Source organism: Homo sapiens, chromosome 22 (assembly GCF_000001405.40).
Source record: "Homo sapiens chromosome 22, GRCh38.p14 Primary Assembly".
Lineage (NCBI taxonomy): Eukaryota > Metazoa > Chordata > Mammalia > Primates > Hominidae > Homo > Homo sapiens.
This window is the reverse complement of record NC_000022.11, coordinates 38,578,111-38,590,266: the sequence shown is the minus strand read 5'-3', so window position 1 is coordinate 38,590,266 and position 12,156 is coordinate 38,578,111. Positions and strand designations below refer to the sequence as shown.

Genomic DNA, 12,156 nt, shown 5'->3' with positions numbered 1-12,156 from the left:
CTTCTGTCACCCAGGCTGGAGTGCAGTGGCACAATCTTGGCTCACTGCAACTTCCTCCTCCTGGGTCTAAGCAGTTCTCCTGCCTCAGCCTCCCTGAGTAGCTGGGACTACAGGCGCGTGCCACCATGCCCAGCTAATTTTTTTCGTTTTTTTGTTTTGTTTTGTTTTGTTTTGTTTTGTGTAGCAGAGATGAGGTTTCACCATGTTGGCCAGGCTAGTCTCAAACTCTTGACCTCAGGTGATCCGCCCGCCTCAGCCTCCCAAAGCCCTGGGATTACAGGTGTGAGCCACCATTCCCGGCCCTTTGTTCTATTTTTAAAATAATTATTTAAGAGATGAGATCTTGCTGTGTTGCCCAGGCTGGTCTCGAACTCCCGAGCTGAAGCAGTCCTCTCGCCTTGGCCTCCCAAAGTGCTGGGATTACAGACATGAAAAAATGTCTTTGTTCTTGATTGATATTTGGCAAATGTTTTGCTGGAAATAAAATTCTAAGTTAAAAGTCAATATTCTACAGAATTTTGGAGAATTTTTCCTGCCTGCTGCTTTTACTGTTGAGAAGTCTCACGCTATTCTGATTCCTATGGCTTTGTGGGTCACTGTCTTCCCAGCTGTGGGAACTTCTAGGATATTGTCTTCATTCTTAGTATCCTGAAGTTTCACAATGATATACCTTGGTATGAGTCCTTTTCTTAATATGCGTCACTGAGGTCGGGAGTGCTCTCAGTCCAGAGGGTAGAGTCCTTCAATTCTGAGAATTTTGCTTGTATTATTTCTTAGAAAATTTCCTTCATTTTCTTTGCTATTTCTGGAACTATGATAGTCAATTGTCAGACCTGCTGGACTGATCCTTTAATTTTCTTATCTTTCTTCATTCTCCTCTTGGCATCTGTATATATATTTCTTTTCTTTTTCAAACAACGTAAATGTATTTTCTCACAGTTCTGGAGGCCGAAGTCCAAAGTCAAGGTGTCAGCAGGGCCATGCTTCCTGTGCGGGGTTCAGGGTAGTCTTCCTTTGCCTCTCCCTAGCTTCGTGCGGTTGCCAGCAGTCCGTGGCTGTCCTTGGCTTGTAGAGGCCTCACTCCAATCTCTGCCTCTGTCATCACCTGGCCTTCTTCATGTCTGTCTGCATCTATTCTTCTAAAGACAGCAGTCATATTGGATAAAGGCCCACCCTAATGTCTTCATTGAACTTGATTACATCTGCAAAGACTATTTCCAAAAAAGGTCTTATTCACGGGTACTGGGGTTTACAACCTTAACATGTCTTTTGGGGAACATATTCCCCAAAACCTATAACAGCTTTCTTCTTCTTCTTTTTTTCTTTTTTTTTTTTTTTTGAGATGGAGTCTTGCTCTATCGCCCAGGCTGGAGTGCAGTGGCGCGATCTTGGCTCACTGCAACCTCCGCCTCCCAGCTTCATGCCATTCTCCTGCCTCAGCTTCCCACGTAGCTGGGACTACAGGCACCTGCTACCACACCTGGCTATTTTTTTTTTTTTTTGTATTTTTAGTAGAGACGGGGTTTCACTGTTAGCCAGGATGGTCTCGAACTCCTGACCTCGTGATCCACCCGTCTCGGCCTCCCAAAGTTCTAGGATTACAGGCGTGAGCCACTGCGCCCAGCATTTTTTTTTTTTTTTTTTTTTTTTTAGACAGAGTCACTCTGTTACCCAGGCTGGAGTGCAGTGGTGCAATCTCGGCTCACTGCAACCTCCACTTCCCGGGTTCAAATGATTCTCCTGCCTCAGCCTCCTGAGTAGCTGGGACTACAGGTGTGCACCACCACGCCCGGCTAATTTTTGCATTTTTAGTAGAGATGGGGTTTCACCATGTTGGCCAGGCTGGTCTCGAACTCCTGACCTCAGGTGATCCACCCACCTCGGCCCCCCAAAGTCCTGGGATTACAGGCATGAGCCACCGCGCCTGGCTAAAATTTCTTTGTAGAGACAGGGTCTTGCTGTGTTGGCATTTTCAACGTATAGAATCATGCTATCTGTAAATAAAGATAGTTTTACTTCTTCATTTCCAATTTGGATGCCTTTCATTTCTTGCCTAATTATCTGTCTAGAGCTTCTGATACAAAGTGGAATACCAGCCATGAAAGGAGGCATTTTGTCCTGTCCCTGGTCCTAGGGAAAGGCTTTCAGTCTTTAACCATTGAGTGTGCTGTTATCTGTGGGTTTATCATAAATGTCCATAATCATGTTGGAGTAATTCCATCCTATTCCTATTTTTCTGATTGTTTATTATCATGAAATGCTGTTGGTTCTTGTCAAATGCTTTCTCTGCATCATTTGAGATAATTATGTAGGGTTTTCCCTTCATTCTTTTATTGTGCTCTATACACTGATCGATTTATGTTTCACTGAGGGGAACTACCTGGGATAAATCCCACTTGTTCCTAGTGTATAATCCTTTTAATATTTTAGTATTTGTTGAAGATCTCTGCATTTGTATTCTTAAGGAAGAGTGGTCTATAATTTCTTTTCTTGTCATTTCTTTGTCTAGTTCTGGTATCAGTATAATGCTGGCCCCATAAAATGAGCTATGAAATACTGTTACCTCTTCTATTTTTTGGAAGAGCTTGAGAAGAATTGGTGTTAATTCTTCCTTAATGGTTTGGTAGAATTCACAAATGAAGCCCTGTAGTCTTTCACTTTTCTTTGTTCAAAGGGAGATTTTTGATTATTGATTCAATCGTTTTATTTGTTATAAGTCTATGCAGAATTTTTATTTTTTTCTTGAGTCAGTTTTGGTAATTTGTGTATTTCTAGTTTTCCATTTCATATAGGCTATATAATTTATTGGCATTTGTATTCTCTTACAAGCTTTATTTCTGTAAGGTCGGTAATCATGTTCTCACTTTCATCTATGTGTGTCCTTTTCTTGGTAGTCATTCAAACTCAAAGTTTGTTAATTTTGTTGATAACTAACATTTTGTTTCTTTCAATTGACTTTCTATTTTTTCTATTCTCTATTTCACGTCCTCTGCTCTAATCTTAATCTCCTTCCTTCTACCAGCTTCAGATTTAGTTTGTGCTTCTTTTGCTAGGCCCATAAGTCATAAAGTGAAGTTATTGATTTGAGATGTTTCTTGTTTTTAAAACATAGGCATTTATGGCTATAAATTTCCCTCTTAGCACTGCTTTTGCTGCACTCCATAAGTTTTATTGTGTTATGTTTTTGTTTTTATTTCAAAATATTTTTTAGTATATCTTGTGATCTCTCCTTCAAGTTGTAGCATGTTCTTTCCAAATACGGACAGTGAACCTAAATAGAAGAAGTGTAGGCCAGGCACAGTGGCTCATGCCTGTAATTTCAGCACTTTGGGAGGCCAAGGCAGGCGGATCACGAGGTCAGGAGATTGAGACTATCTTGGTCAACATAGTGAAACCCTGTCTCTACTAAAAAAAAAAATACAAAAAACAAATTAGCTGGGCATGGTGGTGCATGCCTATAATCCCAGCTACTTGAGAAGCTGAGGCAGGAAAATCACTTGAACCCGGGAGTCAGAGGTTGCAGTGAGCTGAGATCGCGCCACTGCACTCCAGCCTGGCAACAGAGCGATACTCCGTCCCAAAAAAGAAAGAAAAAAATAAATGTAATGCTTTCGTGAAATATTAAAGGAAGTCCTTTAGGCTTGTGAGACTAGTCTCCATCCCATAGCCCAGCAAATAATATTCTGAAGATTCACATCTGGAGGTGTGAAGCAGATAGACAGAGTTAGAAAACACAATCCAGGTTTTCAGCGTCACCAGAGGGATGTCACCTCCAATGGAGTAGTACCTGCCTGCTACCTAGAGGTTTTTGGGGCCCAGTTCAGATCCGACACAGCAGTGTTCCTGTCAGTACTGGTGAAAGATGAAGGATGGAGGCACTGGGGATGTGGAAGCCGTGGATGCCAGCTGTCCTGCTCGACCACTTTCTCTGGAGGCAGGAGCACGCCCTCAATATTCCATGCACACAAGGATCACCACTGGCCACGCCACTGCTCACGTGCAAAGTCTTTGAAGAAATTACATTTTTTAAATTAATTTTTGTTTTTGTTCGTTTGTTTCCCCCACAGGAGGGGAAAGGAGGAGAGGGAAAGAGAAGAGAAACAGAAGTTGAACATTTCTTTCCACTCACTTCCAAGCCCTGAGGAGCTCCACAACCTAGAACCAGGAAGCGCCTACAGAATCCGTGATATTTCTGCTACGAGGTGGAGTGGAACAAGAAAATAAGAAAATTGTGGCCAAAGACAGAAATAGGAATCATGATTTCTCCATAGGGGAAGGATTCCGTTGTAGTTTTTCCTAGGCTGAGTGAAAAGCAGGAGTAGAGAGTTGGTGCTTGGGTCACTACATTTATTCATAGATTTACTCTTTCAGTATTTTATTACGTGCATGCTGGTAAGTATGTTACAAATATGACCTCATACAAAGGTAAAACTTTCATACCAGCCGTATGAAGTAGGGATTATCCACTGCATTTTACGCAGCAGCAAGCCCAGGTTTAGAAAGGTTTCCGAAGTTCTCTGCTGTAGACACTGGGTAATTAACAGTAGATAAGACACAGTCCCTGTTCTCAAGGGAGTCACCATCTGGTAGAGGGAAGACAGATGTATCAACACATTAAATGCTGTAAGTATTGGACAGAGGAAAAAGAGAAAAGTGTTGTGAGGGAAAAGGAAAATGGGCCTAGAGGAGTGCAATTTTTTGTAACAAGCTTTGTGGAACTATTAATTTGATAATTTGATAGGCGCTTCTATTATGCTGCCTCTGAACCTTTGCCTCCTGCTCCTCTAACCACTGGGATTGCCAGCCTATTTCCAATATGCCCTCTTTCTGCCTGGCAAACATCTTGTCTTTTCTAAACTCAGCCCAGGGACATGACATCTGTAATGTGTTTCTGTGTGACTCCCAGGCTTCTGCCTTCTTAACCTCTCACCTTCCAGCTCATTTGAGTGAATCTTTGTCCAAGAATTGAGAGAAACTTTATAGGTAAAGCATGCACATGTTGTCTGATTTAATCTAAAATAGAAATAAGAAAACAAAAAATAATACTGCAACTAGGGACACATTTAGTCACTCCCAGTTCATGAGACAAGGAATAGTAAAGTTCATTCCTACCATAGCAAAAGTCAGGATTTAAATGTAAATTAATTTTTTTAATTAAAAAATTTTAAATTAGGCCAGGCGTGGTGGCTCACACCTGTAATCCCAGCACTTTGGGAGGCTGAAGTGGGCAGATCACGAGGTCAGGAGTTCGAGACCATCCTGGCCAACATGGTGAAACCCCATCTCTACTAAAAATACAAAAATTAGCTGGATGTTGTGGCGGGCACCTGTAATCCCAGCTACTCGGGAGGCTGAGGCAGAAGAATCGTTGGAACCCAGGTGGCGGAGGTTGCAGTGAGCCAAGACCATGCTATTGCACTCCAGCCTGGGCAACAAGAGCGAAACTCTGTCTCAAAAAAAAATTTTTTTTAATTAATTTTAACTAAATTAAATTTTTTAGAGGCAGACTCTCAGTCTGTTGTCCAGGCTGGAATGCAGTGGCGCAGTCATAGCTCACTGCAACCTCAAATTCCTGGGCTGAAGCAATCCTCCCACCTCAGCCTCCCAAGTAGCTAGGACTACAGGTATGCCACCATGTCTGGCTAATTTTTAAAGAAATTTTTTTGTAGAGATGGGATCTCACTGTGTTGCCCAGGCTGGTCTCGAACTCCTGGCTTCAAGTAATCCTCCTGCCTTGTCCTTCCAAAGCACTGGGATTCTAAGTGTGAGCCACCACACCTGGCCTGGAGTATCTAATATTGTATAACATAATAATAGTAATCATAGGTGATGTCATTTATTGAGTACTTAGTATGTGCTGAGTGCTCTGCTAAGTCTGGTTTAGACATTATCTCAGTTAACCTTCCTGGTGTCCCCCAAGATGGATATTGTTACCTCCATTTTCTCCTAGGAAGAAACGGACTTGGGGGGGATGATTAGGTATTTGCTAGATGTCTATTCTGTACCATCCCTGCACTAGGCCCTGTGAATACAGAGATAAATAAAGACACAGTCCCTGACCTTATGGGGCTCACAATCTGGAAAAAAGAGAAGGATGTGTAAACCAATAAATGCATTAATGCTCCGATAGAAAGCTGCGTGGAATCTGAGAAAAACCAAGGCAGATGAAGCCAGTGTGCCAGCAGCCCTTTGGGACAGAAGATATTTCACTGAGGGGCACAGGCACAGGGGTTGGTTTGCCAAAGGACCAGCAGCTGGGCTGAAGGGCATAGGTTTTATCATTTGAGCTTCAAGGCACAAGGCAGTGACCTGGTCTGTGCTAGAACAGTTCACCTGTCACAGCCAAGAGGAAAGAAATGGTGCAGATGGCTGTTTGCCCAAACCAAGCAGCAGATAAGCAGATCTTGGGAAATGTAGCTCATCCCTCAGACACACATCTTTACTTGAATCCTGAGTAGAACTCTAGGTGACCCCCTTGGAGGCTATTACTCATGTAAAAGGGGATGAAGGAAAGGTAAGAGAGAAGGAGCTTAGGCTTTGGCATGAGAAAATTTGGGCCTTTGAATCCCTGCCCTGCTTCACCATATGGATGTGTGACTCAGCATAGTAGCTGTGCATCTTGACCTTTCTGAACGTGCTTTCTTGACTGCAGAAAGGGAATGCCTGCCTAGGAGGGTTGTTGTGAGGATTAGATGAGATAATTTGTGCAAAGTTCTTGGCACAGTACTTTTCACTTTGTAATTGCCACAAGCTGTTATTGTTGTTATTGCTGTTATAAAGTGTACTCTTCTTGGCCGGGTGCAGTGGCTCATGCCTGTAATCCCAGCACTTTGGGAGGCCAAGGCAGGTGGATCGCCTGAGGTCAGGAGTTTGAGACCAGCCTGGCCAACGTGGCGAAACTCCATCTCTACTAAAAATACAAAAAAATTAGCCGGGCACAATGGCAGGTGCCTGTAACCTCAGCTACTCAGGAGGCTGAGGCAGGAGAATCACTTGAACCCGGGAGGTGGAGGATGCAGTGAGCTGAGATTGCACCATTGCACTCCAGCCTGGGTAACAAGAGTGAAACTCCATCTCAAAAAAAAAAAAAAAAAAGTATAGTCTTCTGAAACCAGAACGTGTGAGCACCTGCCGAGTACAAGGCACCATGTGGGGCAGATAAGCAGAACACTCTCTCACCTTCCCTTTACTACCCCAGCCACTGTCAACTCTTCATTTGCAGTTTCTCTAGGAACCACACTTTCCTATTTCTGGATCTTTTGTCTGTTGCTGCTTCTGGACCTGAAAATGCCTTCTCCTCCCTCCTCTTTGTTAACTGCCAACATCACTAATTCCTGCTCTTCCTCCAGGACCCCGCTTAGACGTCCCTCATCTTGGGAGCCTTCCCTAATATACCAGGAGCAAGGTAGGCACAAGTGCTCCACTGCATTATGCTCCAACAGCATTCTGTGCCATCCCATTATGGCAGCAGTTACCATAGTAGATTGGAATTGCCTGTCTACCTATCCACCGCTACTATTAGCCCCCATACAGCAAGAAGGTCTCCTTATTTTCTAAGCCCAGGACAAACTGCATTTCTGTCTGTCAGGACCATTTGTTGCACAGTCCAAGATCATCCCTGCATGGACCCTTTCCAGAAATGACTGAGGACTCAGAGTTGTAGCCTCTCAGGATGTTAAATATGAAGAAACCTGTCTCTGCCCTTTGTAAACATTAGAAGGGAAAATTATGGGGAAGAATTATTTGCCCTTTATAAGGGAAGCGGGGTAGAGCATCAAAGGGAACTAACATTTAAAAAGCATTTGCTGTAATGTGGGATAAAGCAAATGAGTAATTGTATGATATTCTAATTCTGTCATTCCCAGTGTTGCTGAAAACCCATACTCTCAGCATGGAAGAAGATAAATTCAGATGTTAAACTAGAAGAGATGAAGTTAAAATCCTATAGTCCTGATTTTGAATTGCTTATGAATTGATGATGAAATGTATGTTTTAGAACATACAGTTTCCTGAAGAACAGGAGGGATAGCTGGAGAGGGGATAGGAGGGAAGCTGGAAGGGGTTACAAAGAGGCCCAAATAAACTTTTGGGGGTGACAGATATGTCTACTATCTTGATTGTGGTGAATGGCTCATGGGTGTATACACACCTAAATACACTTTAAATGTGTGCAGTTTCTCATATGTCAATTATACTTCGATAAAGCTTTGTTAAAAAACGAACAGGCCAGGCATGGTGGCTCACACCTGTAATCCCAGCACTTTGGAAGGCCAAGGCAAGAGGATTGCTTGAGGCCAGGAGTTTGAGACCAAACAGGACAACATAGTGAGACCTTGCCTCTACAAAAACATAAAAAATTAGTCCGATGTGGTAGTGCATACCTATAGTCCTAGCTACTAGGGAGGCTGAGGTGGGAGGATCGCTTGAGCCTGGGAGCTTAAGGCTGCCATGAGCTGTGATTGTGCTACTAGACTCAGCCTGGATGATAGAGCAAGACTGTGTCTGGGAAAAAAAAAAAAAAAAACCTGAGCCAGGTGCGGTGGCTAACGCCTGTAATCTCAGCACTTTGGGAGGCCGAGGCGGGTGGATTGCCTGAGACCAGTAGTTTGAGACCAGCCTGACCAACATGGCGAAATCCTGTCTCTACTCAAAATGCAAAATTAGCCGGGTGTGGTGGCAGCTGCCTGTAGTCCCGGGTACTCGCAAGGCTGAGGCAGGAGAATTGCTTGAACCCAGGAAGCGGAGGTTACAGTGAGCCAAGATCATGCCACTGCACTCCAGCCTGGACAACACAGTGAGACTCTGTCTCAAAAATATGTGTATATATTTCCTAAAACTCTGTCCACTGAAATGACCTAGAAATAAAGACTGACCCGGCAGCAGTGACCCAGACTGTGGTCTTGAAATACTATTTGCCCTAAAAGGATCTAGGGATCCTTGAAGAAATGATCAGTTCCAGGTCTAGGGCAGGAAAATCATGAGACCTGAAACATCTTATCACACTTAACACCAAGGAAGCTATCAAAGACAAGGATCCTGTCAGAAAGACTTGGGAGCAAACTTAGAGACAATCCCATTAGCTAAAAGAGAGGACCATTTGGGCATTAATAATAATTGCCATATTTGAAGCACGTCAAACGTGTTCTCACCTGTAAGTTCATATTGTGACTTTTAAAAAACGGATTGGTGTCTGGACGCGGTGGCTCACGCCTGTAATCCCAGCACTTTGGGAGGCCGAGGTGGGCAGATCACCTGAGGTCAGGAGTTTGAGACCAGCCTGGCCAACAAGGCAAAATCCCGTCTCTACTAAAAATACAAAAATCAGCCAGGCGTGGTGGTGCATGCCTGGAATCCTAGCTATTCGGGAGGCCGAGACACAAGAATCACTTGAACTTGGGAGGCGGAGGTTACAGTGAGCTGAGATCGCACCACTGCACTCCAGCCTAGGTGATGGAGTGAGACTGTCTCAAAGATAAAAAAGGAAAGGGGAAAGGAGGAAACTAATTGGATACTAGGAAACTTCCTCATTATTTTGAAAATTGGTAAGTAAATGAATAAGCATTTATCATGCCATTCCCATATGAACTGTATTACCAGGTAACCAAATAGTAGTGGAACAGAAACTTGTCTTTAGAAACAATCCACCTAATAAATTCAGAAATAATGATAGACTTAAAATATCACCATTTTGAAACCCCTAATGAATTAATGGATCTAGGTTGATTATCCATGGCTGCTTACATCACAAAAGACAAACAGCTATTAAATGCCTTTTGATACTAGACCATAAGACCACCTATCAAATAGTCTTACAAATAAGTAAACTTGAATGTGATCTGAACTCTAGATCCAACCACCATAACAGGAAATACAGAGGATGGGGACATCATGGCAAATGGTAAATGACACCTAGGGGATGCAATCAGCAAAATCCAGGCCATGGAAAACTCCAGGGCAAATGACTTCATTTTTTTCAACAAATAAGTTTCAAGGGAAAAAGAGAGGGGGAATATATAGATTAAAAGAGACTTAAAAGAGGACATCGGTTGCCGAGCATGGTGGCCCATGCCTGTAATCCCAGCACTTTAGGAGGCCAAGGTGGAAGAACCCCTAGAGCCCAGGAGGTGAGACCAAACCGGGTAACATAGTGAGACCTTGTCTCTACAAAAAAAGTAAAAATTAGCAGAGCAAGGTGGCATACGCCTGTAGTCCTAGCTACTTGGGAGGCTGACGTGGGAGAATTGCTTAAGCCTGGGAGTTGGAGGGTGCAGTGAGCTATGATCATGCCACTGCACACTCCAGCCTAGGTGACAGAATGAGACCACATCTCTAAAAAGAAAAAAAAAAGACATCAATCAATTACAACATGTGGACATTATTTGGATCCCATTGAAACAAAATGTGGCATTTATGAGACAAATGGATATCTGAATCTTAAATATTTTATATATAAAATTATTCTAGGCGTGATAATAGCATTATGGTTATATTTTTTAAAGAGTTATCACATTTTAGAGATATATACTGAAATATTCACAGATGGAATTACAAGATTTATGGAATTTGTACTCAAATAATATGGGAGAGAGAAAGTGGATGGAGGTATAGGTGAAACAAGATTGACCATGTGTTGAAAATTGTTGAAGATGGGTGATGGGAATATTATACTGTTTTACTTTTGTGCATATTTGATTTTAGCCATAATTTTTAAAATTAAAGGCATCTACCATGGACACTTCTAAGCATATTTTACACACTTTCATTGTGGTCTCACTAAAGCCCTGTGAATGAGGTACAATTTCCCCCATTTTCAAATTGAGGCTCTTCTTGTTTAAAGCACCATTACTCCTGGCTTGGGACTTCTGTTATACAATATTCTCCTAGCATTCTCTTTGCCCTTTCTCTTGCCCCTCCAATCAGTTCTCCACACAGGAGCCCACATACTTCATGTGTATTAACCCATTTAATTCTCACAACTCAGCGCCGATATTATTCTTGGTTTTCAGATACCGAAACTCAGGCACAGAGAGGTTAAATAATTTTCCCAAGACCACACAGCTAGTGAATGGCTGAAGTGTGCTCTATGTCTGGCTTAGTTGCTGCTCCTATGTGTACTTATGACAGGAAAATAAAGTCAAGATATGAATATACAAGCCTGCCATATAGTGGTTTAGCATGTCAGTTAAGAGCATGGTCACTGGAGCCAGACTGTGAGCCTCAGGCAAGTTACTTAACCTCCTGGTGCCCCAGTTCCATCGTGTAAATAGGGGTGATAATTGTTGTGCCTCATGGTGTCTGTGTGAGGAGTGGATGCATGAATCTGTGGGAGGCACTTAGAACAGTGCCTGACACATGGTAAGTGCAGCATGTACTGGCTATCATGATCATTATTGGGTGTTCAACAAATACTCGTTCCTTTTGGCCTCTCTCCTTTAATTTTGAAATTAAAATCCTCCACCAGAACCACTTGCAGTTCCCCAAATAAGCCTCTGTGTTCCTTCTGCCTTTCCCGCCCTGCCCGATTGACAAATCCTCACTGATCCAGCCCCAAGCTAAGGGCCACCATCCCCGCAACCCCAGAGAGAGCCTCTGCTTGGTTCCCAGCTGCATGTCTAATCCCTCTCATCCTGCCTTGTGTGGTGATTATCTCTTTCTGCATTGTCTTCTCTACTAGACTCATGGCTCCTTGAGGGCAGGTACCTACCTGTCTTTATATCCAGCAGAGACGTGGAATTGAGCAGTGTTGAATAAATGCTAGTAAAATAAACTGTCATAGCAAGCCTCTCTTGGACACCTATGTGCTGAAGTTAAAAAGTTTTTCAAATTTGGACTGAAAAAATGAGAAAGCCCAAAATGACTATTAAATATACATGTATGTGTGTGTATACATACACACAGTCATGCACCACGTAACGATGTTTCAGTCAGCAGCTGACTGAATATATGACGGTGGTCCCATAAGATTATAATGGAACTAAACAATTCCTATCACCTAGCGACTCTTAGCCTTCGTAATGTCATAGCGTAACGCATTAGTCACGTGTTTGTGGTGATGTTGGTGTGAACAAATGTACTGTGTTGCCTGCCAGTCATATAAAATATAGTACACAATACTGGGGTAATGGTAATAAATGACTGTTACTGGTTTATGTTTTA

The 12,156-nt window shown here is 42.8% G+C and overlaps 1 protein-coding gene across 17 annotated transcripts in view, besides 2 other annotated features; it reads left to right on the top strand.

Moving 5' to 3' along the window:
• FAM227A (family with sequence similarity 227 member A) overlaps positions 1–12,149 on the top strand; it is a 78,275-nt gene extending 66,126 nt beyond the window's left edge. For 10 of the 17 annotated variants that reach the window (XM_011530311.2, XM_047441456.1, XM_011530310.2 and 7 more), the window contains 2 exons: positions 4,068–4,202; positions 7,350–8,098. In XM_011530311.2, the coding sequence (XP_011528613.1) occupies positions 4,068–4,202; positions 7,350–7,557 (343 nt within the window). In that variant the 3' untranslated portion in view covers positions 7,558–8,098. Of the gene's footprint in view, positions 1–4,067 lie in introns of all 17 variants that reach the window. The other 7 variants (NM_001384271.1, NM_001013647.2, NM_001291030.2 and 4 more) reach the window with 3 other exon arrangements.
• Positions 4,456–4,656: a silencer, noted in NCBI's record as "peak4492 fragment used in MPRA reporter construct". NCBI's record gives its function as "represses an SCP1 promoter by STARR-seq MPRAs in K562 erythroleukemia cells {active_cell/tissue: K562}" and the evidence as "EXISTENCE:reporter gene assay evidence [ECO:0000049][PMID:32103011]".
• Positions 7,201–7,250: an enhancer, noted in NCBI's record as "active region_19014". NCBI's record gives its function as "activates an Ori minimal core promoter by ATAC-STARR-seq in GM12878 lymphoblastoid cells {active_cell/tissue: GM12878}" and the evidence as "EXISTENCE:reporter gene assay evidence [ECO:0000049][PMID:35858748]".
• Positions 12,150–12,156: the final 7 nt, after the last annotated feature.